General features: G+C 38.5%; 1 protein-coding gene across 5 annotated transcripts in view; it reads right to left on the bottom strand.

The window, feature by feature from the left end:
• C1orf185 (chromosome 1 open reading frame 185) overlaps positions 1-9,217 on the bottom strand; it is a 50,055-nt gene extending 40,838 nt beyond the window's left edge. For 4 of the 5 annotated variants that reach the window (XM_024446525.2, NM_001136508.2, NM_001410790.1 and 1 more), the window contains exon 1: positions 9,196-9,217. In XM_024446525.2, coding sequence (XP_024302293.2) covers positions 9,196-9,211 — 16 coding nt within the window. In that variant the 5' untranslated portion in view covers positions 9,212-9,217. Of the gene's footprint in view, positions 1-9,062 lie in introns of all 5 variants that reach the window. The other variant, XM_011541282.3, reaches the window with a different exon arrangement.
• Positions 9,218-27,356: the final 18,139 nt, after the last annotated feature.

Raw genomic sequence — 27,356 nt, 5'->3', positions numbered from 1 at the left:
ACTAAAATTGCTCCACTGCACTCTAGCCTGGGCAACAAAGCAAAACCTGTCTCTCAAAAAAAAAAAAAAAGAAAGAAAGAAAGCTAAATGAAAGCAATATAAAGTAAAAGTATATCACCAATTTTACAATTGGAAAAACCTATAGGAATTATATGATATTACCCTTTATTTTATAGATGGTAAAATTGAGGTCCACGAAAGAAAAGTAATAAACTAAGGTTATGCAGCAAATTAAAGCCAGACCTCTGGGTTTTTTTTTCCTATTATCTTATCCCTGCTACAAATTATCATAATTCTAGTATGTATTAAAAATAATTAGGAATGAAGAAGGCTTGGGGTAATTATAGGTTGGTCAAGTCTTCCTTAAGATTCTGAAAGCTGCATAAAGTAAACCGTAGAAAGCTTTCAAAAAACAAAAGAAGGAAAGAAAGCTTTCTGTTTTTTTGTTTTGTTTTGTTTTGTTTTTGTTTTTGTTTTTGTTTTGAGTGAGCTCTGTCACCCAGGCTGGAGTACAGTGGTGAGATCTCGGCTCACTGCAACCTCCGACTCCTGGGTTCAAGCGATTCTCCTGCCTCACCCTCCCAAGTAGCTGGGACTACAGGTGCACACCACCACGCCAGGCTAATTTTTGTATTTTTAGTAGACACGGGGTTTTACCATGTTGGCCACGCTGGTCTCTAACTCCTGACCTCAAGTGATTCACCCACCTCAGCCTCCCGCAGTGCTGGGATTACAGGCATAAGCCATCACGCTCAGCCGAGAAAGAAAGCTTTCATAGGAGGCTTTATAGAACTTGAACCTTAAGACAACTGAGGAGTATATTATTTTGGGAAAAGATTGAGTATAAAACTAATTGAAGATCTTTGTGTGAATATATTATCAAGTTCCACTAAGAATATGACATGATAAAGATTTTGTCATTTCCATATTTTTATTGTTTTCTAAGTAATTTCCAGCTTCAAGATAGTGCCTGTCAAATCTTAGTTTTCTTTGAGATCAGAAATGTCTACATTCAGGAATTAATTAGTGGTACAAAAAGGTTATATAAGGTTATTTCTCAAAGTGATACTTTTAATATAAAAACTCCAAATGCCCCAAATTAGGAAATCAATTAAATAAGTTATAATGATGCTATATATGAAAAATATATCTAACATTTATACTGCAAATACTATATGCCAGGCACTATTCAAAGTGCTTTATAAACATTAACTTATTTACTTCTCCAAATTCTATAAGTTAAATACTATGATTTCTGCACTTTACATATGAGAAAACAGATGAGTCAAATTGAGGCTAAATAGCTTTCTCAAAAGAATAGAACTGGTAAGTGGGGGAATAGTAGTAATTTAAATGTTGCTAAGGGACTTTATCATCTAGATTGGGTAAGGAATAGAGGCAGTGAATATCTTTAGATTTTTATTTTTAGAAAAACAGTTAAGTATAGATGTTAAAAATTTAAGGGTAACCAAAGCAATCTACAGATTCAATAGAATCCCTATCAAAATAACAATGAAATTCTTCACAGAAATAGGAAAAAATTCTAAAATGTGTATGAAACCACAAAACACCCTGAATAGCTAAAGCAATCCTGAGGGGAAAAAAAAAGTTGGAGGTATCACACTATCTGACTTCAAAATATACTACAATGCTATAATAACCAAAACAGCATAGCATTGGCATAAAAAACAGAAACATAGGCCAGTGGAACAGGATGGAGAACCCAGAAATAAATCTACATGTCTACAGCCAACTGATTTTTGCCAAAGTGCCAGGAACACTCACCGGAGAAAGAACAACCTCTTGTGGGGAAAACTGGCTATCCATCTGCAGAAGACCCTTATCTCTCACCATATACAAAAATCAACTCAAAATGGATTAAAGACTTAAATGTAAGAGCCCAAACTATAAAACAACTAGAAAAAAAAATAGGGGAAATGCTTCAGGACATTGGTTTGAGAAAAGATTTTATGAATAAGACCTCAAAAGCACAAGTAACAAAAGCAAAAATTGATAAATGAGATTATATCAGACTAAAAAGCTTCTGCACAGCAAAGGAAACAACCAACAAAGCGAAGAGACAACTTGTAGAATGGCAGGAAATATTTGCAAACCATTCGTCTGACAAGGGATTAATATTTAAAATATACAAGGAACTCAACTCAGCATCAAAGAAACATAATCTTATTAAAAATGGGAAGATGATCTGAATAGACATTTCTCAAAGGACGTACAAATGACCAACAGGTATATGAAAAAATGTTCAGCATCACTATCATCAGGGAAACGCGAATCAAAACCACAATGAGATATTATCTTACCCTAGTTAGAATGGCTATTATCAAAAAGACAAAAAATAACAAATGCTGGCAAGGATGCAGAGAAAGGGGAACCCTTATAGACTGTTGGTGAGAATGCAAAATAGTACAGCCATTATGAAAAACAATAAGGAGTTTTCTCAAAAACCTAAAAATAAAACTACCACGTGATTCAGCAATTCCACTTCTGCATATACATTTAAAGGAAAGGAAAGGAAATCAGTATACTAAAGTGACATCTGTACCCCTGTATTTGTTGCAGCATTATTCACGATAGCCAAGATATGGAATCAATCTAGGTGTCCATCAATAAATGAATGAATAAAGAAAATGTGGTATATATACACAATGGAGTATTATTCAGTCCTAATAACAAATGAAACATTTGCAGCAACATGGATGGGACTGGAAGTCATAAGTGAAATAAGCCAGGAACAGAAAGACAAAAATTGTACGTTCTCATTCATATGTGGGAGCTTAAAAAGGGGATCTCATGAAGAAGAGAGTAAAATGGTGGTTACCAGAGACTGGGAAGGGAGTGGGGGAAGGGAGGATGATGAGAAGTTGGTTAATGGGTACAAACATACAGTTAGAAGGAATATGTTCTCTAATGTTTGATGGCAGAGCAGGGTGACAACAATTAACAATAATGTATTATATATTTCAAAATAGCTAGAAGATAAGAATTGTAATGTTCTAAATACAAAGACAAATGCGTGAGGTGAGGGATAGCCCAATAACCCTGGTTTGAGTATTACACATTGTACACATGTATCAAAATATCACACTGTACCCCATAAATGTGCACAATTACGTCAATTAAAAAAAACCAAAAATTTAAGAGTATCATAAAAGAGAATCTAAATGGCCAATAAACATGTAAAAATGTTATTAATCATTAAGGAAGTGAAAATTAAACCACAATGAGATACTATGACCACTATATACAGTGCCTAAAATGAAAAAGAAAATATGAAGTACTGGCAAAGAGGCAGAGTAGCCTGAACTCTCATTCACTGGTGGTGAGAATGTAATTTGGTAAAATACTTTAAAAAACTGTTTAGCATTATTATGAAAGCTGAACACATGCATACTTACGATCCAGCAATTCAAGTCTTAGACAAATACCCAACTGAGGAGCATATGTGTGTTCACAAAAACATGTACTAAAATATTTATAGGAGCACTACTTGACATAGCCCACAAATTGGAAACTGTCCAAATGCCAATCAATAGTTGAATGGATAAATTTAAAAGTTGAATTAATTAAAGAAAACAAAATATTTACAGCAATGAGAAAGAATAAACTACAACTATGCACAACATGATAAATTTTATAAACGTAATGCTGAGCAAAAGAAGGCAGACATAAAGTTCAAACACCAACATCAGGGGGAGTTCTGGGATGTTGGTAATGTTCTGTTTCTTGATCTGGATGTTGCTTCTATAGGTCTGTTGACTGAAACTTCATCAAACTTACCACTTATGACTTATCAATAAACTAGATCTATATGTGTCAGTATGAATAAAACTGAAAAAATAATACAAAAAAAGCAAGTTCTATAAATGTATATTCAATGATTCCAATTATGTACTGATTTCACTTATGCACATTTAAAGAAAACATAAAATAATACTATTTTTAACAATTAAATATTTAAAAAGTATTAAAGTACACCAAATTTTACTATTAGTTGTCTTTTGGTGGGGAAAGCGGTGGATGGCACTGTGGATAGAACACAAACTTAGACTTTATCTATAATATTTCATTGGTTTTTCTTTCCTTAAACACTTTTTTAGACTAGCCAAGTGCAGTAGTGATGAGAGAAGAAAGAACTGAATAAGGAGTTCGATCTGCAACTGACTGTGCACAATCAATTAAGACTCACTGCCTTCGGAGCAGCCTTTTATGGAGTGGCGGGTAAGTGGAGGGTCTCTCTATATTGCCCAGGCTGGTCTTGAACTCCTGGCCTCAAGTGATCCTTCCATCTCAGCTTCCTGAGTAGCTGAGATTACAGGCATGAGCCACCATGCCCAATATTTCATTTCTTTAAAAAAATTACAGATCTGGGCCAGGCGCGGTGGCTCACGCCTGTAATCCCAGCATTTTGGGAGGCTGAGGTGGGCGGATCACAAGGTCAGGAGATCAAAACCATCCTGGCCAACACGGTAAAACCCTGTCTCTACTAAAAATACAAAAAATTAGCTGAGCATGGTGGCGTGTGCCTGTAATCCCAGTTACTCGGGAGGCTGAGGCAGGGGAGTCGCTTGAACCAGGGAGTTGGAGGTTGCAGTGAGCTGAGATTGCACCACTGCACTCCAGCCTGGTGACACAGCAAGACTCTGTCTCAAAAAAAAAAAAAAAATTACAGATCTGAAGCTTAGATGAACAAAAAAATGTTCATTTATGAGGAGATTACATGGGTGTTTACTATTCTTTTTCCTTTTCCTTTTTCTGCTTTTCTCCAATATGTATTGGAGGCAAGGCCTGACTCTGTTGCCCAGGCTGGAATGCAGTGGCACAATCATAGCTCACTATAGCCTTGAGCTCCTGGGGCTCAAGCAATCCTCTCATCCTCCCTCCTTGGCCTCCCAAGTAACTAGGACTACAGGCACATGCCACCATTCCTGGCTAATCTTTTTAATTTTTTTAGAGACAGAGTCTCACTTTTTTGCCAAGGCCGATTTCCTTTTCTCAAATATTTAAAAAATATAGACATAACATAATCTCAATTTTGTTTAAAAAAAAAAGAGAGATAGGGAGAGAGATAGCAAAAACTATTTGTATAAAGAAAACAATCAACTTTGGTTATTCCTGGGGTAAGGGCTTATAGGTACAATTTTCACTCTAGACCTTTCTATATATCAAATTTTCTACCATGAATATCTTAGAAAAATCAGAAAAATTTTTTTTAAATTTTCATATATAATTCCTGACTCATCTATTTAGATATTACAAGTCTCCTTGTAGCACCTTCTATATTTTTATCACTGTGTTTATAGCCCACTTAGCTTTCACCTCTGAGAATCTCTGCCCTCCTACCTTTCCTCTCCTTAAAAATTCTCTATTACGACAGAAAATAGGTGTGATTAGTACACCATTCCAGCCCCTGGTTTAAATGAATCATTTACCTCTCAGGGGAATTGCAATGAGATATAAAGAACATGAAAGTTTCCAAAACATTTTACCACGGGAAGGAAAAATTACATATTTGCTAATACCTTCAATGAGTGTCACTTTCTGTCTAAATCAATTTGTAAAATGAGAAGGCTTGACTGTGTGATCACTAAGTTCTGCTCCTATTCTAAAGGTTTAGTCAATATATATCATAAAGTCGTATTATATACAAAGATAGTATTTTTACTTTTTTGACTCCACTCTTAAGTATCCTATCTAAAGTAACTCCCCACTTTCAATAGTCACTCTTTGTATCACTCTATTTCTTTGTCTTTAATAATAATCATTAATAATATTCTTTATTTATTGGTTTATTGTCTGTTGTCTGTCTTCTTAGAACCACTATAGTATTCTCAGAGTTTAGAATAATGACTGGTTACTCAATAAATGATTAAATATTCAATGGATAATGATAGATGCTAGTATTAAAACATGGATAATATAAGGTTCTTTCCCTCAAGAAGTATGCTGCTTAGTAGGAAGGACATACATATTTTTTAAGTTCAATTTAAAAGTATTATGGGTGTTATAATGGAAGAATAATACAAAATAAAGACATAGGAAGATCTATAGAAAGATAGGAGAAAGTTTTTTTTTTTTAAGGCTGCATAGTTAAACATTGCCTGATAATTTTCTATTGCCAATTACTAGTCAAGAATTGGTGATTCAAAGATAAGTAACAGGTGGGGAGCGTTGGCTCACACCAATAATCCCAGCACTTTGGGAGGCCGAGGCAGGCAGATCATCTGAGGTGAGGAGTTCGAGACCAGCCTGGCCAACATGGTGAAACCCCATCTCTACTAAAAACAAAACAAAACAAAAAACTAGCCAGACGTCGTGGCACATATCTGTAATCCCAGCTACTTGGGAGGCTGAGACAGGAGAATAGCTTGAACCCAAGAGGCGGAGGTTGCAGTGAGCCGAGATTGCACCTCCAGCCTGGGTGACAGAGCAAGACTCCATCTCAAAAAAAAAAAATGGAGAAGAAAAAGAAAAGTAACACACGATTATGGAGCATACAATCTAGAAGGGGGCAAGTCATTTAAACATATATGTTCCTTAAAATGTCCTGAGTGCTATGAGAATAACCTGTTTACAGTGGTATAACAACAGAGGCAGTTTGGCCCAATGCAAAAACAGTTTTCTAGAAATGACACTTAAGCCAAATCTTAAGATTTAGACTGTAAGAAATAGTGTAGTTAAAGGGATTAAGTCTTAAACCTGATTATGACTTTTCCATATGAAAATAAATAAAACTCTCTGTCTCACTACAGCACCCTCCAGCTTACAATTGGCCCTTTTCTTACCATTTATAGCCAAACTTCTTAAAATAAAAATTTCTACTTCCATACAACTTCTATTTCCACAGTGATTAATAACTTCGTTAACACAAAATCCAAAGGTCACTACTGATTTTTCTCCCTCTCTTGCCTTAATGTCTGTAACTTAAATTCACTTGGTTTTCCTCCCAACTCTATGTCTATAATTGCATTTGTAGGTCCTTCTTCCTCAGCCTGTCTATATTCACATATTTATATATTTATGTGTTATATATTTATATGTTATAGACCTATGTATTAAATCAGAAGTACTAAGTATTTGTACCAGGAGTATTTTCAGATTATTTTTTGCAATGTTTCCTGAACTATAAGTCCTGCTTTTATTTTTGAGTATTCACAAACTACCTGTTTATTTTGCTCTTCTTGAGTTTTGCCAGATTTCATTCTTAGGTTTATGCTGTATATAAGTGGTTTAGTCCAATCAACAAATATCTGTTGAACAGCAAATACGTGTGAAACATTGCATGGGGGACTTAAGGGGGATAAAAATCTGTTTAAAATAAGAATAATCCTTACTCTGAGGTTTAAAAATCTATAATGAAATATATGCAGGGCTGATATGCAGCCAGTATGTAAAGTGGACCATATTGATTATTTATAGTTGGTGTCTGCTTTGATCTGATATAAGCCTAACTGGATCTGTGAACTTTGAAAAGCTACTTATTATATTGGATGGATCTTAATGTTCTCACTTGAAAAATGAGAATCATACTATCTCACAGAATTACAGCAAGCAATAAATAAGATAATATTATAAGAAATTAATAACATAATGGCTGGGTGCAGTGGCTCATGCCTGTAATCCCAGCAGTTTGGGAGGCCAAGGCAGGCAGATCACCTGAGGTCAGGAATTCAAGACCAGCATGGCCAACATGTTGAAACCCTGTCTCTACTAAAAACACACAAGATTAACCAGTCGTGATGGTGGGCACCTGTGGTCCCAGTTAGCGGGGCAGCTGAGGCAGGAGAATTGCTTGAACCCAGAAGGCAGAGGTTGCAGTGAGCCGAGATTGCGCCACTGCACTCCAGCCTGGGTGACTGAGTGAAACTCAGTCTCAAAAAAAAAAAAAAAAGGAAAGACATCTGAAATTTAACATGCATATAATAATATCAGGCCATAAAGCAAGACTCAACAAGTTTTTATTTGTTTCGTGGTTTTTGTGTGTGTGTGTGTGTGTGTGTGTGTGTGTGTGTGTGTTTTTCGAGACAAGATCTCACTCTGTTGCCCAGGCTGGAGTGCAGTGGCATGATCATAGCTCATTGTAGTCTCAAAGTCCTGGGCCCAGCTGATCCTCCCACCTCAGCCTCCTAAGTATCTAGGACTACACATGTGTGCCACCATCCCTGTCTAATTTTTAAATTTTTTGTAGAGATGGAATCTCTCTATGTTGCCCAGGTTCGTCTTGAGCTCCTGGCCTCAAGGGATCCTCCCACCTCGGCCTCTCAAAGTGCTGAGATTTCAAGTGAGAGCCACTGTACCTGGCCAAGACTCAACAAGTTTTATAAAATCATTATTATATATACCATGTTCTCTGACAATAATGCAATTAATCTCTACATTAATAACTTAAAATATACCCTAAGAAAAGCTCCTGTGCTTGGGGAAATTTAAAATCACATTGTAAATAACTCATTAATTAAAGAAGAAATCAGTGAAACCTAGAAAATACACAGGACTAGATAATAATGAAAATACTATGCATAAATACTCATAGGAACACAGCTGGAGCCAAATTTAAGGAAAATATATGGCCCTAAATGCATATATTAGAAAAGAAGTTTGAAAACTAATGAGCTTAGCATACAAATTACAAGTTGAAAAAGACCAGCAAAATAAACCCAAAGAAAGTAGAGGAAGAAAATAATAAAGAACAGAAATTAATGAAATAAAATTTATGATTCTTGGTAAAGACTAATAAAATGGACAAATCTCTAGTAAGATTAACCAAATGAAAAAAATAGAAGGCATAAATAAATAATATTAAAAATGAAGAAAGAACATAATCACAGATAGAGCAGAGGTTAAAATAAATACTTTCAATGAATTTATGCTAATATATTTGAAAACTTATACAAAATAATATATACCTAAAAAGTAACTTACAAAAAGTGACTCAAGAAGTAATAGAAAACATATATGAACAGTATCCGTTAAATTGAATCAGTAGTTACAAAATTTCCCCCAAAGAAAATAGCCCCAATAACTTTACAATTTCTACTGTATACCCATGATTCAAGTATTTCTTATCTTATACAAGCTCTTCCAGAGAATAGAAATAGATTTCTGGTTGTTCGTCTAAATATATTTTCCTCTTCTTCCCAGGCAAAAAGCTAGACTACATGACCCAGCTTCTCATACCTTTAGGTGAAGCCATATGACTGAGTTCTAACCAATAGAATTTGAGTGGAAGTGATGTCATAAAAACATTCCAGGCAATTTTCTTCATGATCTTTCTCCCTTTGGGCTGACGGGGGTGGAGATGATCCCTAGGGAAACCTTGGAAGCCACGTATTGATGTTACTACCATCAATCAACTGGATCTAATTGACATTTATAGAACATTCAACCCAACGAGAGCAAAATGCATATCCTTTCCAAGTACACATGATACATTATCTAATACAGAGAAATCATTGAAAACTACCATAACTTCTAAATAACACATTTCTAAATAATCATTAAAGAGGAAGTCTCAAAGGAAAATAAAAAGATATTTTCAACAAATAAAATGAAAGCACAGTATATCAGGATTTACAGCATGCCACTAAAGCACTACTTATAGGGTATAATCTACCATTTTTTTCATAAAAGGGCAACCTTTTAGCGTTCTGAAATTATAGATCCATTACTATACTATATATTTCATCACAAATTTGACTTTTTATTCTCGATGAACTGTAAATGTACATTCTGTAATCTAATCGCTTATGTGAGTAGTCAGGTAGGCTATGGAACATTTTTTTGTTAATTCTGCTTTGCCTTTTTTTTTTTTTTTTTGAGTGAAGTCTTGCTCTTGTCGCCCAGGCTGGAGTGCAGTGGCATGATCTTGGCTCACTGCAACCTCTGCCTCCCGGGTTCCACTGATTCTCCTGCCTCAGCCTCCCAAGTAGCTGGGATTACAGGCACCCACCACCATACCCAGCTAATTTTTGTATTTTTAGTAGAGATGGGATTTCACCATGTTGGCCAGACTGGTCTCGAACTCCTTACCTTGGGTGATCTGCCCACCTTGGCCTCCCAAACGCTGGGATTACAGATGTGAACCACCATGCCCAGCTTGCTTATTTTTAAAGTAAATTAAATCCAATGAATTATATATATCTTTGTTATCAAGCAAAAGAGGCTCACTGCCCAATGTGATTGCAGCAAATACTATGACATTGGGTTTTTGAGAAAAGAAAAAAGAAACGCTTTTTTTTTTTTTTTTTTTTTCTAGATAAGGTCTTGCTCTGTTGCCCAGCCCGGAGTGCAGCGGCTTGATCATGGATCACTTCCACCTCAATCTCCCAGGCTCAAACGATCCTCCCGCCTCACTCTTCCAAGTAGCTGGGACTTCAGGCATTTGCCATCATACCCAGCTAATTTAAATTAAATTTTTTTTTCGTAGAGATGGGATTTCACTACACTGTCCAGCTTGGTCTCAAACTCCTGAGCACAAGTGATCCTCCCACCTCAGACTCCAAAACTGCTAGGATTAGAAGCATGAGCCACCACACCCAGCCAAGAAGCTTTTTATTGCAAGTCAACCAACAAAGAGACAGGAGTCCAACTCAAATCTGCCACCCTATGCTGGCTTCAAGGCAGTATTTTTATTAGAAAAGTTCAGGGGGTGCATTCTGAAATTAGTAGGTGATTGGTGGAAGGAAAGGGAGGTCTGGAAAGTCCTCAGGCATGTGTACTTATCTCTTCATGCTTTCTCATGGGTCCCATGTGCAAATTCAGGGGGAGTTAATAAAAAACATATGGTGGAAATTCAGGCTGTAATGTCAGCAAATTCATTCTGCACAAACTCTAATTGGCCATATTGGTTTCAACTGATTTTAGTCAGTTTTGTTTTCTTACTATTAATAGCAAAGGAAGTTTCAGCTTTTCAGCAAGTTGTTTCTTATGTGTCATCCTGCAAACTCAAGAATATCTGTTGTTAGTTTCTTTAACTCTTTGGAGTAGGGTTTCATCTTCAGTCAGCTTATTTGACATTTTATTCTCGATGATCTATAAATGTACTGCGGTTATTCTAAACCTCTGCTTTTTGCTCAAGCTTTCAATTCCATCTACCACTATCCTTAATTTCAGATGACCTCTCACACCTTATGCTATCAAAGCGTTTCTTCCCACATTTAAAAGTGCTATAAACCTTATAGTTACAGTGATTGCAGAAAATTTCAATGTTATATAAAGCAAGGTGATATTTCAACCTTCCTTCTTAAATTTCTTCTTAAATTAGTTGGATCAGCTTTTGCATAAACTGACTAGAAACATTACTATATTTGCTATAAGATTTTTATTGAGGATGGCTTTTGCCACATCCCTAAATAATGTTCATTATTCCCAAATAGTCCCTAAATAAGATGCTATGAGAAATTATTTTTTTTCTTTCTATCAAGGATAACAATGTAGCTGATATACATCCTTTCATATTTACTTTATATTTTTACTGATTCACAATAGATGTGTATTTACAGGGTACATGTGATAATTTGATATAATAGAATCAAATCAGGGTAATTGGAATATCGATCACCTTAAATATATATCTTATTTTTTATTTTATTTTATTTTTTTTGAGGCAGAGTCTTGCTCTGTCACCCAGGCTGGAGTGCAGTGGTGCGATCATAGCTCACTGCAGCCTTGACCTCCTAGGCTCACGTGATCCTCCCACCTCAGCCTCCTGAGTAGCTGGGACTGCAGGTGTGCACCACCACACCCAGCTAATTAAAATTTTTTTTTTTTTTTTTTTTTGTAGAGACAGGGTTTCACTATGTTGCCCAAGCTGGTCTCGAACTCTTGGGTTTAAGTGATCCTCCTGCCTCTGCTTCCCAAAATGTTGGGATTACAGATGTGAGCCACTGCACCTGGCTATATCTTTTTTTTTTTTTTTTTTTTTTGAGACGGAGTCTCGCTCTGTCGCCTAGGCTGGAGTGCAGTGGCGCGATCTCGGCTCACTGCAAGCTCCGCCTCCCACGTTCACGCCATTCTCCTGCCTCAGCCTCCGGAGTAGCTGGGACTACAGGTGCCCACCACCTCGCCTGGCTAATTTTTTGTATATTTAGTAGAGACAGGGTTTCACCGTATTAGCCAGGATGGTCTCAAACTCCTGACCTCGTGATCCGCCCGCCTCGGCCTCCCAAAGTACTGGGATTACAGGCGTGAGCCACCGCGCCCGGCCGGCTATATCTTTTCTATATGCTAGTAACATTCAGATTGTTCTCTTCTAGTTATTTTGAAATGCATAATAGATTAATATTAACTACAGTCACCCTGCTGATCTATCAAATACCAGGTTTTATTTTTCCTATCTAACTGTATGTTTGTATCCATTAATCAACTCCCTCCCCACATTCTTTCTGGCCTTTGGTAACCACCAATCTACTATCTTCACGAGATCCCCCTTTTTATTTATAATTTGATGGATACATAATTGTTGTACATATTTATGGAGTACATGTGATATTTTGGTACAAGCACACAATGTATAATGATAAAACCAGGATAATTGGAATAAACATCCCCTCAAACATTCATTATTTCTCTATGTTAGGAGAGATCCATTTTTTAGGCTCCCACATATAAGTGAGAACATGAGGTATTTGTATTTTTGTGTTGGACTTATTTCATGTAACAATGACCCCCAGTTTCATCATGTTCCTGCAAATGACAGAATTTCATTCTTTTCTATGACTTAATAATATAATAATATTCCTTTGTGTATATATATATCACATTTTTTTCTTTTTCTCTCTCTCTTTTTTTTTTTTTTTTGAGATGGAATCTTGCTCTGTCACCCAGACTGTAGTGTGGTGGTATGATCTTGGCTCCCTGCAACCTCCGCCTTCCAGGTTCAAGCGATTCTCCTGCCTCAGCCTCTGGAGTAGCTGGACTACAGGCACGTCCCATCACACCTGGCTAATTTTTTGTATTTTTAGTAGACATGGGGTTTCACCATGTTGGCCAGGCTGGTCTCAAACTCATGACCTCGGGTGATCTGCCCACCTTGGCCTCCCAAAGTGCGGGTATTACAGATGTGAACCACCACACCTGGCCACCACATTTTTCTTTTAAGTTGACAAATAATTGTACATATTCACAGCGTACATAGTGATATTTCATACATATATAGTGACCAGATCAGGGTAGTTACCATCATCTCACAAATTTATCACTTATTTGTGTTGTGAACATTCAGTATCCACCTTCTAGCTATTTCAAACTATAATTCTCCTACAGTGGTACAGAACACTAGAATTTATTCCTCCTATGTAGCTGTTATTTTGTATCCTTTAACAAATCTGTCCTTATCCTCCTTTCCCCTTAAACTTCCCAGTCTCTAGTATCCTTAATTCTACTTTTTACTTCTATGAGATCAACTTTACTTTAACTTCCGTATATGAGTGAGAACATACAATTTTTGTCTTTCTGTGCCTGGTTTATTTCACTTAACATAATGTCCTCCATTTCCATCCATGTTGTTGTGAATGACAGAATTTCATTACTTTTGTGGTTGAATAATATTCCATTCTGTATCTATGCCAAATTTCCTTTTTTTTTTTTTTTTGAGTCAGAGTCTCTGTCTCCCAGGCTGAGTGCAACGGCACAATCTCAGTTCACTGTAACCTCCACCTCCTGGGTTTAAGCAATTCTCCTGCCTCAGCCTCCCGAGTAGCTGGGATTACAAGTGCCCGCCACCACACCTGGCTAATTTTTGTATTTTTAGCAGAGACAGGGTTTCAACATTTTGGCCAGGCTGGTCTCGAACTCCTGACCTCAAGTGACCCTCCCACCTTGGCCTCCCAAAGTTCTCGGATTATAGGCATGAGCCACCATGCCTGGCCACCACATTTTCTTTATCCATTTATCTATTGCTGCACACCTTGGTTGATTCCATATCTTGGCTATTGTGAATAGTACTACGATAAACATAGGGATGCAGATGTCACTCTGATATACTGATTTCTTTTCTTTTGGATAAATGCCCAGTAGTGGGATTGCTGGATCATGTGGTAGTTCTACTTGTAGTTTTTTGAGGAACCTCCATTCTGTTCTCCATAGTGGTTGTACTAGTTTATATTCTAATGAACAGTATATAAGAGTTCCCTTTTCTCTGCATCCTCATCAGCCTTTGCTATTTTTGTCTTTTTTATAATAACTATCTTAACTGGGATGAAATGATAGTTCATTGGGATTTTTCCTTGCAGATAGCTTGTGATAAGTAATGTTGAGCATTTGAAAATATATTTATTGACTATTTGGATGTCTTCTTTTGAGAAATATCTGTTAAGATCATTTGCCCTTTTTTAATCAAATTTTTTTTCTCATTTTACTGTCTATGTCTTGAAAAGTTGATGTAGTTACTATTTTTGATCAGTTCATGTTTCAGTCTTTCTACTCAAGGTATTATGAATAGTTTACACACCACAATCACAGTGTGATAATAGTCTGTGTTTTTCTGTGTACTTACTATTACCAGTGAGTTTTGTACCTTCGGATGATTTCTTATTGCTTATCAACATTCTTTTCTTTCAGATTGAAGAACTCCTTTTAGCATTTCTTATATTACAGGTCTGGTGTTGATGAAATCCCTCAACTTTTGTCTAACTAGGAAAGTCTTTTTATCCTTCATGTCTGAAGGATATTTTTGCTGGATATACTATTATAGAATAAACTTTTTTTCTCCTTCACCTCTTTAAATATGTCACGCATTCTCTCTTGCCCTGTAAGGTTTCCATTGAAAAGTCTCCTGCCAGACCTATTGGAACTCCATTGCATGTTATTTCTTTCTTTTCCATTGCTGCTTTTAGGATCCTTTCTTTATCCTTGACCTTTGGGAGTTTGATTATTAAATGCCTTGAGGCAGTCTTCTTTGGGTTAAATCTGCTTGGCATTCTATAACCTTCTTGTATTTGAATATTGATATCTTTCTCTAGATTTGGGATGTTCTCTGTTATTATCTCTTTCAATAAACTTTCTACCCCTATCTGTCTCCTCTTTAAGACTAAAAACTCTTAGATTTGCCCTTTGGAGGATATTTTCTAGAACTGTGGGTGTGTTTCTTTCTTTTTTATTCTTTTTTCTTTTGTCTCCTCTGTTTTCAAATAGCCTATCTTCAAGCTCACTAATTGTTTCCTCCGCTTGATCAATTCTGCTGGTAAAAGACTCTGATGCATTCTTCAGTATGTCAATTGCATTTTCAACTCCAGAATTTCTTCTTGATTCTTTTTTATTCTTTCAGTCTCTTTGTTAAATTTATCTGATAGGATTCTGAATTCCTTCTCTGTATTATCTTGAATTTCATTGAGTTTCCTCAAACAGCTATTTTGAATTCTCTGTCTAAAAGGTCACATCTCTCTCTCTCTCCAGGAATGGTCCCTGGTGCCTTAGTTTGTTTGGTGAAGTCACATTTTCCTGGATGGTCTTGATGCCTGTGGATGTTTGTTGGTGTCTGAGCATTGAAGAGTTAAGTATTTTTTGTAGTCTCTGCAGTCTGGGCTTGTTTGTACCTGTTCTTTTTAGTAAGGCTTCTCAAATATTTGAAGGGACTTGGGTGTTGTGATCTAAGTTTTTGGTCATGGGATCCATATTTGTATTAGGGGGCACCCCAAGCTGAGTAATGCTATGGCTCTTACAGACTCCTAGAGGTACCGCCTTGATGGTCTTGGATAAGACCAGGAAGAACTCTTTAGATTACAAGGCAGGGACTCTTGTTCCCTTCCTTTACTTTCTGTCAAACAAATGGAATATTGCTCTGTGTGCTGAGGTGCCTATAGCTGGGAGAGCCACTGGGAGTGTGCTAGTTCAAACCTGAAGTTAGCATGGTACTGGGTCTCGCCCAAAGCCTGTGGTAATCACTACCTGGCTACCACCTATGTTCACTCAAGGCCTTAGGGCTCTACAATCGCAGGTGGCAAAGCCAGCCAGGCTTGCAACCTTTCCTTCAGGGCAGCCAGTTCCCCCTGACCCCAGGTGGGCCCAGAGATGTCATCTGAGAGCCTGAAGTCAGAAACCTTAGGAAGCTACCTGGTGCTCTATTTTGCTGCAGTTGAGCTGGCACCCTGGCCACAAGACAAAGTCTTCCCCACTCTTCCCTCCCCTTTCCACAAGCGAAGTCTCTCCCCATGACCATCACTACCCTAGACCCATGGTAAGTACTGCCTGGCTACCTCTGATATTCACTCAAGACCCAAGGGCTCTCCAGTCAACTTGTGGTGAATATTGCCAGGCCTGGGTCTCTCCCTTCAGGGCAATGGGCTCCCCTGTGGCACAGGGCAGGTCCAGAAATGCTGTCCAAGAGCCAAGACCTGAAATCAGGGCCCAAGAGCCTGCTTGGTGCTCTACCCCACTGTGGCCAAGCTGGTACCTAAGCTGCAAGACCAAGTCCCCTTTACTCTTCCCTCTCCTTTTCTCAAGCAGAAGAAGGCTCTCCCCATAGCCACCACAGGTGGGAATGTGCTGGGTTATACCTAAAGCGAGCATGTCTCTGAGTCTCACCCAAGGCCCATGGCAAGTACTGCCTGGGTATTGCTGCTGGTTATTCAGGGCCCAAGCACTCTTGGGTCAGCAGGTGATGAATTCTGCCAGGACTGGGTCCTTCCCTTCCAGGAAGTGGGTTCCCTTCTAGCTCAGGGTGTGTCTAGAAACATCATCCAGGAGCTAGGGCCTGGAATGGGAGCCTCAAGACTCTGCCTGGTGCAATATCCTACGTGGCTGATCTGGTATCCAAGTTGCAAGACAAACTCTATTTTACTTTTCCCTCTCCTCTTCTCAAGCAGAGGGAAGGAGTCTTTTTTGTAGCTGCGAGCTGTGCTGCCCGGGGATGGAAGAGGGGTGTGCAAACATTCCCTTGGCTGCCTTGGTTGGTGTCTCACTAGGTTACTTGCCCCCAAGTCCACTGGTTCCAAGCTCAGCACAGCAGCAGGACTTGCCAAGAAATTGCAGTCCTTGTGGCCTAGACTGCCTTTCAAGTTTAGTTAGGGCTCTGGAACATTTTAGCCCACGGTGGCAAGGCTTGCTGGAACTTAAGTTCTGACAATGGTTCTATTAGGGTGGGCAATTCTGCTCTGGCTATGGCTGGTCTAAATGCTCCCTCCACGGGCTCTGTCTGAGTTCTGCCTGGTATTGCTTTCTGCTGTGACAGGGAGCACTGAGTTCCAGTGCAAAGTCCCAAAATCACTACACTTTTCCTCTTCCAAGCACACAGATTCTCTCTCTGCACCATATAGCTGCTGTAGGGGATGAGGAAGGGGTGGCACTGGCAATTCAAAATGCTTTCCTACCCTCTTCAGTGCCTCTTTCAGTGATATGAACTTAAAACCAAGTACTACGATTGTTCATCTGATTATTGGTTCTTATAAAGGTGCTTTTTTGTGTGGATAGTCATTCAATTGTGGATTGAACCATTGTTCAATTGTTGTGGATAGTTGCTGGGAGGACAATCAATTAAGTCTTCTATTTGTCCATCTTGCTCTGCCTCCACCCTCAAAGTGTTTTAATTTCCTTCTTAATTTCCTCAGTGGCCCATTTATCATTTGGTAGCATGTTGTTTAATTTCCATGTGTTGTGTAATTTCTCGGGTTCCTCTTGTTACTGACTTCTAGTTTCATTCCATTGTGGTCAAAAAAGATACTTGGCATTATTTCTACTTTTTGCAATTTGTTGAGGCTTGTTTTATGACCTAATATATGGTCTGTTCTGTAGAATGTTCCATGTGCTGATGGAAAAAAAAGTGTATTCTGCAGTACTTGGGTGAAATGGACTGTAAATGTTAGTTCTATTTTGTCTAGTGTACAGTTTAACCTCAATGTTTCTTTGTTGATTTTCTGTGGGGTGATGATCTGTCCATTACTAGAGTGGGCTGTTGAAATCACCTACTATTACTGTATTACAATCTATCTCTTCCTTTCAGTCTATTAAAGTTTGCTTTATATACGTGGGTGCTCCAGTGGTGGTGCATAAATATTTATAATTGTTATATCCTCTTGCTGAATTGACCCCTTTATCATTATACAGTGACCGTCTTAATCTCTTTTTATAGTCTTGATGTGCAGTCCCTTTTATCTGATATAAGTTTAGCTACTCCTGCTCTGTTTTGCTTTCCACTTACATGGAATAACATTGTTCACCTCTTCACTTTCAGTCTATGTGTGTTTTTATAGGTGAGGTGGGTTTCTTGCAGGCAGTACACAACTGGGTCTTGTTTCTTTATACATTCAGGTACTTTGTGACTTTCAATTAAAGAATAGAGTCATTTACATTCAGTGTTATTATTGATGAGTAAGGACTTACTCCTGCCATTTTGTTGATGGTTTCCTGGTTGTTTTGTAACTCTTCTCTTCCTTTCTTCCCATCTTCCTTTGTGCTTAAGTGGTTTTTACTAGTAGTATGTTTTAACTCATGGCATCTTATTTTTATTGTATCTATTATAGGCTTTTTGCATAATGGTTATCATGAGGGTTACAAAAAATCTTATAAATATAACTAGTTATTTTAAAGAGATGACAACTTAGATCACAAAAAAATAGAAACAAAGGATAAACTAAAAAAACTCTCTATCTTAACTCCGCCCCCACACACATTTTGTTGCCTCAATTTACATATTTTTATATGGTCTGTCTATTAACAGGTTGCTACAGCTATTGTTATTTTTGATATATTTGTCTTTTAGGCTTCATACTAGAGGTATGCATGGATTGCACACCATAATTAAGCTATTGAAATATTCTGTGGTTGTCCTTATAATTAATTTTACTGGTGGGTTTTATACTTCCAAATGTTTTCTTTTTGCACGTTAGTGTTTCATTCTTCCAGATTGAAAAACTCTATGATTTCTTGTAAGACAGGACTGGTGGTGGTAAATTCTCTTAGTTTTTGTTTGTCTTGGAAAGACTATCTTTCCTTGCTGAATACAGTATTCTTGGAGGCAGTTCTTTTCTTTCAGCTCTTTGAACTCCTGGTCTCAAGCAATCCTCTTACCTCATACTCCCAAGGCACTGGAATTACGAGTGTGAGCCCTCATGCCCAGCTTTATTTCAGCATCTTTTAAAAATTGTCCTTTTGTTTTATTAATATGGGGTATTACATTGTTTTTAACAACTTTATTGAAGGAAAATTAGTATACCCCACACACGTGTTTAGCGTATACTATTTGAGTCTGGATTTATGCATATACTTGTGATACTCCCATCATAATCAGGATAACAAACATATCCATGTTAAGTGTTTTTACAAGTAACACACACACACACACACACACACACACACACACGAAGAAACTCCAGGAGTGATGGACATGGACAGAAAAGCTAACAGTTTATTACATGTTAGACAAACTATGTATTTGTTCATACTATCACACTTAGTAATAGTGTGTAATCCTTTTTATATGTTTGTATTCAGTTTGCTAGTATTATCTTGAATATTTCTTTGTGGACATTTAAGAGAGATATGTTCTGTAGTTTTCTTTTCTTGTACTGCTTTTGTGTGGTTGTTAGATTATAGTAATCCTGGTCTAGTAGAATTAATGAGAAAGCATTCCCTCCTCTTCTGTCTTTTGTAAAAGTATTTGTGAATTACTGTTTTTAATTCTTCATTAAAAATTGGCAGGGTACATTTGTGATACCACTTGGATCTGGGATATTCTTTGTAAAAGTTTTAAAAATCAATTTAATATCTTTACTTTTTATAGATTTATTGATGTCTTCTATTCCTTCTTGAGTTTTTTTCAATCATTTTTATCTTTATATAAGTTTGCTTATAATTTGTAGTGTTCCAAGTTTCTCTCATTGTCATGGTAGTTGATATACAAAAATAATGTGGGGAAATGAGTCAATCCACAAATACCCTATATCTAAAGATCCTCTGATATAGGAGAGAGAAAATGACTGTAACTGCTGTAGCTCCCTACCCCTCAGACTTACTGTATGAGACAAATGAGATATTGAATCTAAAGTAAATTAAGAAATTATGCCATTTGATTTTGAGTTTTATCAAAACAGTAGACTGAGCCTACATCTCCTTTTGTGCCAAAATTTAGTAACATCAAAAATGCAGCTTGTAATTAGAAAAAATACAAAATAATATTATAAGTGAGGAATTTTATCAACGGTCAATAATTTCATGAACCATAGTGGTTAATATTTGTACAGCACATAGAATACACATTTATTGTGTTCATATATTTATTATATACCAAAACAGTTGGTTTTGTGATAATGTCACCTAAGATAATATCAAATGTGCCAATTAATCCTTCTTTTCAATTAATCTTTGTATGATATATTTAAAACTATAATGTATTAGGAATACATATTTAAGTGGTTTGGGGAAATGCATAATACATTCTTTTGGCATCTTGAAAATGTAGTCCCACTCCCTACTGTCCTGCATAGTTTCCACTAAGAAGTCTCCTGCCAGACAGCTTAGAGTTCTTTTATGTTATTTGCTTCTTTTCTCTTGCTACTTTTAGGATCCTCTCTTTGTCCTTGAACTTTGAAAGTTTGATTATTATATGCCTTGGGTTAGTCTTAATTGGGTCAAGTCTCTCTGGTGTTCTCTGAACTTCCTGTATATCTTTTATATCTTTCTCAAGTTTTGGAAAATTTTCTGTTATTATTTCTTTGAGTAAGCTTTCTACTCCTTGCTCTTGCTCAACTCCCTCTTGAACACCAATAACTCTTAGATTTTGTCTTTTGAGGTAACTTTCTATACATCTTCTAGGCAATCCTCACTCCTTTTCATTCTTTTTCCTCCTCTGATTGTATAATTTCAAATACCCTGTCTTCTTGCCTTTTTTTTTTTTTTTTTGCGACAGAGTTTCACTCTTCTTGCCCAGGCTGAAGTGCAATGGCACGATCTTGGCTCACTGCAACCTCCATCTCCTGAATTCAAGAGATTCTCCTGCCTCAGCCTCCTGAGTAGCTGGGATTACAGACACCTACAGGCACCAACCACCATGCCTGGCTAGTTTTATATTTTCAGTAGAGATGGAATTTCACCATGTTGGCCAGGCTGGTCTCGAATTCCCGGCCTCAGGTGATCCACCTGCCTCAGCCTCCCAAAGTGCTGGGATTACAGGCATGAGCCACAACACCCGGCCATGTCTTCCCGATTTTTTTTTTTTTTTTTTTTTGAGACAGAGTCTTGCTCTGTCACCCAGGCTGGAATACAATGGCATGATCATGGCTCACTGCAACCTTCGCCTCCTAGGTTCAAGTAATTCTCCTGCCTCAGCCTCCCAAGTAGCTAGGATTACAGGTGTATGCCACCATATCCGGCAAATTTTTGTATTTTTAGTACAGACATAGTTTCACCATGTTGGTCAGGCTGGTCTTGAACTCATGACCTCAAGTGATCCGTCTGCCTTGGCCTCCCAAAGTGCTGGGATTACAGGCATGAGCAACCGTGCCTGGCCTCCTCCTGCTTTTTGATTCTTCCCTCTGCTTGATCCATTCTGCTGCTGAGAGGCTCTAATGAATTTTTCACTTCTGCCAATGTATTTCTTAATTCCAAGATTTGCTTGATTTTTAGAAAATTATTTCAATATCTTTGTTAAATTTCTTTTATACATTTCTGAATTGTTTTTCAGTGTCATCTTGGAGATCACTGAGTTTCCTTAAAACCGCTGCTTTGAATAATTGGTCAGAGACCTCATATTTTGTCATCTTGTTAGGATCAGTCACTGGTTCTTTGCTTTGTTCATTTGGGGAGATCTCTGTTTGCAGATTTCTCTTATGGATGTATGTCTGTCTTTGCACTGAAAGACTATTTATTCCAGTAATCTGTATCTCACTTGTTTTGATTTTTATTGGGTATGTTTGCTTAGAGATTCTTAGTAATTTACCTGTTGAATTCCTTACTTTTTAAAATGTCAGGTCTTGAAGAAATCATCTAATAACTAAGTGGAAGTTGCAAAGGATGCCGCAAGATAATATATATTTTTATCTTATCATCAATAGAAATATCTGAATTGTCAATATGAAAGACACACTATATACATGTGTCACCAATTGATATGATTTGAGTATATGTCCCCACCAAATCTCATGCTGAATTGTAATCCGCAAGGTTGGAGATGGGGCCTGTGGGAGGTGTTTAGATGATGGGGGCAGATCGCTTATGGCTTGGTGCTGTCTTCATGATATTGAGTTCTTGTTTTGTTGTAATGTGTGCCCCCCGACTCTCTCTTGCTCTTGCTTTCACCATGTGATATGCCTATTCCCCCTTCACCTTCCGCCATGAGTAAAAGCTCTCTCCCTAGAAGCTGAGCAGATGCCAGCACCATGCTTGTATAGCCTGCAGAACTATGAGCCAGTTAAACCTCTTTTCTTTAAAAATTGCCCAGTCTCAGATATTTCTTTATGGCAATGCAAGAACAGCTAATATACCAATTCAATCACTAAGGGCATTTTTAAAATGGTGTTAGGGAGTACTATTTAAAGATGCCAAAACAGATGTTGAATTATATAAGTACATTTTGATGCCACTAGAGAATGAGAGAAGTCTGCTGACCTTCACACCAAGGTAGTCATCCAATTTTGTCCCTCAAGTTTCCTCTGAATTTTCCTAGGTTCTTTTCACTGTAACTCTTCTTCCAAAAGTTCAGTAGGTCATAAGCCAGAAGACAAACGTGCATCACTGTCTAGGATAAGTATGTATTAGTTTCCCTGACTTGAATTAGGAAGATGTGATGTCACTAAGGACATTGTCTGCTTTTCTTCATGCAGTTGCAGCATCCTCTGCTGGGCATTATACTTTATAGTTTTTAAGAAAGGCTTTTATAGCTTTTGAGGAATAGCTTTTATAGCTTTTGGTATAGTAATAAAATATATAGTGCTTCATTATTTTCATTAAGGTATTAACATCCCAAAGCATCATTTAGTGCTTATTGTAAGATTTAAATATATATAAGAGAAATGCAATTATATAAGTACAAATAATATTAATACTACCACTAATAAGTGGTAATATGCTATTATGAAAACTCTTCAACTTAAAAAAGTTTTCAGAGCTGGGGTCTGACTCTGTTGCCCAGGCTACAGTGCAGTGGCATAAGCGTAACTCACTGCAGCTTTGAACCCCTGGGCTCAAGTGATCCTCCTTCCTCAGCCTCCCTAAGTAGCTGGGACTACAGATGCATATCTTCATGCTCAGTTAATTTTTAATTTTTTTTGTTTCTTATTTTTTAGAGGTGGGATCACACTATTTGTCCGGACTGGCCTAGAACTCTTGTCCTCAAGTGATCTTCCAACCTCAGCCTCCCAAGTCAGTGGGATTACAGGCATAAGCCACCATGCATAGGTTCAATTAAAATTTTAAGAGGAGGACATCAGCTAGGTTGTTGACTAGAAGCTCCTGTGCTTGTCTCCCACACAAAGACAGCCAAAGAAATGAATAAACAACTATATTTTGATGAAAATAACTGAAGGAGAAAACAGAAATATATCAAAGGAGTAGTATAGGCCGGTGCAGTGGCTCACGCCTGTAATCCCAGCGCTTTGGGAAGCCAAGGCAGCGGATCACTTGAGGTCAGGAGTTCGCGACCAGACTGGCCAACATGGTGAAATCCTATCTCTACTAAAAATACAAAAAGCAGCTGGGCATGGTGGTGCACACCCGTAAACCCAGCTATTCGGGTGGCTGAGGCACAAGAATCGCTCAAACCTGGGAGACGGAGGTTGCAGTGAGGCGAGATCAGACCACAGCACTCCAGCCTGGGTGACAGAGTGAATGAGACTCCGTCTCAAAAAGAAAAAAAAAGTAGTAGTATAAACTCTGTAGAGCATAGAAACCCAGGATAGTTACATAAAGAAAAGAAGGAAGCAGCTCACATCCTACCTCGTCCATACTCCAGTCAGGACCAGCTCAGAACCGGGATAAACTTTTCAGTGAAGGGAAAGGTAAGCAAGAGGAACCCAGCAGCCCTCATCACCACTGAGATTACTACAGTCCTCACCACTGGGAAATCCTGTATTTCTCAAAGGTGCTAAGCCCAGCAGAGGGAACTGCCTGGTGTCCATATGGCTGCACTTCTTCCAGAGGAGTCAATGCTGTGCTCTGCCCTTCATGGGCTGCTACTCTGCTGTGCCATGTTAGATCCAGAACCATGGCTGGAGGAAGTCCTGCTCGGGAGGTGAGGGGCTATTGCACCTCTCCATTCCTGAGGGTTTGTTACACCTGTACCACCACTGTCTGGTGGTTCACCATCCCTAAATCAAGCTGCTGCTACACGCTATTCCATGGATTCAAGCTGCTCTGCCCTACCCCTCCCAGTGATTGCTGTGTCCTGCCCCCTAGTGCAGGAGCTGCAGCAGCAGTATCCTACCTTCCAGGGATATGGTGCCTTGGCCACCCAGATCAGTAATGCCCCTAGCACTGGAGGTGAAGCAGTGCCTACTGGGAAACTGGTGGCTTGGCTACCCAGAGCAGTCATGTCCCCCTGTACTGGACCTGAGGTAGTGCCTTCTAGGGAACTGGTGCTGTGGGCCACCCAGAGCAGTCACCCCCCCGGTGTTGGAGCTGAAGAGTCACTCCACTTCACAAGATTATGGGTCCCTTAGCTGAGCCAAGCAGCTGCAGTTCCCAGGGCTGAGCCAATGTGGTGCTGCACATCCCAGGAAAACACAGGATTGGGTGAACTGAAACAACCTACTCTCCAGGCTGAACAACTGCAGAACCCTGCTTCCATGAAACCAGACTATCCCCTAGCAGAGGATGCACCCTGCCTTACCAGGGAGTGGAGTCATCACTGTGCTGCTCCCTGTACCCCAGGGCCCAAGCCACAGCTATGCCCTGCCATTCCTGGGACATTAGTGCCACTGCACTTGACTTCACAGAGCCTGCAATGCTGCTGTGTCCTACCATCCCATAGTCCAGGGTCCTCACTACACAGGTTCTCATCCCCGTCCAGGGCCTGAGTGGCTGCTGTGCTCTATAAGCCTCTGGTTCCCAAATTGCAGCTGTGCCCTGCTTCCCAAAGCCTGAACCTCCAGCACACCCCTGCTTTTTTTTTTTTTTTCTTGAGACGGAGTTTTGCTCTTATCGTCCAGGCTGGAGTGCAATGGCACAATCTCAGCTCCCTGCAACCTCCTTCTCCCGGGTTCAGGCAATTATCCTGCCTCAGCCTCCTGAGTAGCTGGGATTACAGGCGCCCGCCACCATGCCTGGCTAATTTTTGTATTTTTAGTAAAGACGGGATTTCACTATGTTTGCCAGGCTGGTCTTGAACTCCTGACCTTAGGTGATCCACCTGCCTCGGCCTCCCAAAGTGCTGGGATTACAGGCGTGAGCCACTATCCCCAGCCCAGAGCACCCCTTCTTTACCAGAGCTGGGCCAGTGCTGCCCCTGAGGAGCAGGGGCAGAGTCACAGCAACAACCCAGCCCCCTAGGCCTGAGCAGCTGAGGTATGCACCAGAGTCACAGACCTTAGCTTTATGGCAGTCAGCACCTACCTATGCCTCAGAGAGTGAACATGTGTCCAAATTCCCAGGTGCCACAGTAGAGTGGTGAGGTCCTGAGCACAGGACCCTGGCTCCACAGCTGCTCTGAGCATCTCCTCCCTGAAACCCAGTGCCACTGCAGTTGCTTGTGGTTCATGTCAGACTTGATACCAAGAAGGATCCCCTCAGTAAAGACTCCCCATTTTGGGGAAAACAAACACAGGAGGACCCTAAAAGCCCTTGCCATGGAGGACACTAATGGCATATGCTGCTGATGCCACTGCAACAAACTTCTGCAGCCTAGGTCACTAAGGCACCCATGTCATCACTGACGTTAATTGCAGCTGAAGATTCTGCATGGCAGCTATACTATTACATCTACTTGTAACCAAAGCCACCATACCCTTCCCAGCTGGCACCCTAAGACCCATCTGCAGGGGAAAGCCTTTTCTTATGAAAGTCATTCTGTAAGGTTTGGAAGCACTGACAATTCCACCAGATGTGCAGACACCAATGCACAGACAGAGAAACATGAAAAAGAAAACATGACATCACCAAAGGAACAAAATAATCCTCGAATAATTGACCCTAAAGAAATGTAAATTTATAAATTTCCTGAAAAGGAATTCAAAATAATGATCTTAAGGAAGCTCAGCAAGATATATGAGAATACAAATGGATAATTCAAGATCAGAAAAACAACAAAAATGTAAATTAGGAGGGAAGAGTAAAAGTCCACAGTATTTATATGTGACCAAATTTAAGATGTTACCATCTTAAAATAGTCTATTGTAACTATAAGAAGTTTTATGTAAGCCCCATGGTAACAACAAAGCAAAAGACTATAGCAGATACACAAAGAGAAAGATAAAGGAATTAAAGCTTAGCTACTAGAAAAAATTACCAAATCACAAAGGTGGACTACAGAGAGAAAGCAATGAAAAAATGACCTACAAAACAACTAGAAGACAACAGTAAAAAAACAGTTCCAAGAGGGGAGTAATAGCAATAAATGTCTGTGTTTAAAAAGGAGGAAGATCTCAAATAAATAGCCTAACATTAAACCTCGAAGAGCTAGAAAAAGAACAAACTAAACCTAACGTTAGCAGAAGGAAGATCAGGACAGAAATACATTAAATAGAGAACAGTAAAACCATAGGAAAAAAAATCAACAAAATCCGGAGTTTGTTCTTTGAAAAAATAACCAAAATCAACACACCCCTAGCTAAGTACTAAGTATGAAAAAAAGAGAGAAGACTCAATAAAATCAGAAATGAAAGTGGAGACATTATAACAGACACCTTAGGACAAAAAAAGTGTCATAAGGGACTATTATGAACATTATATGCCAACAAGTTGGATAACCTGAAAGAAATTATAACCTAATAAGACTCAATCAGAAAGAATAGGTAGCTTGAACAGACTAATGACAAGTAAAAAGACCGAAGAAGCAATCTAATGATGCACCTTAAGGAACTAGAAAAGCAAGAACAAACCAAACCCAAAATTAGTAGAAGGAAAAAAATAATAAAAATCAGAGAAGAAATAAACAAAATAGAAACTAAAAGAATTGCGAAAGATCAATGAAACAAAATGTTGGTATTTGAAAAAGATAAACAAAATTAACAAACTATTAGCTAAACACTAGCTAAACTAACTCCCGTTAAAATTTTTTTTTTAATTTTTAACTAACTTCCTAGAGCCATAACACTCCCCCTTTTTTCAGAAACAAAGAGAGAAGACTCAAATAAAGTCAGAAATGAAAAAGGAGGCATCACAATAGATACCACAAATATACAAATGATTAGTAGAGACTATTATCAACAACTATACACCAAAACAATACAAAAACTAGAAGAAATTGATAAATTCCT

The sequence above is a fragment of the Homo sapiens genome, chromosome 1 (assembly GCF_000001405.40).
Source record: "Homo sapiens chromosome 1, GRCh38.p14 Primary Assembly".
NCBI classification, from domain to species: domain Eukaryota; kingdom Metazoa; phylum Chordata; class Mammalia; order Primates; family Hominidae; genus Homo; species Homo sapiens.
Note: the sequence above shows the minus strand (reverse complement) of the source record. Positions and strands in the feature narration are given on the sequence as shown.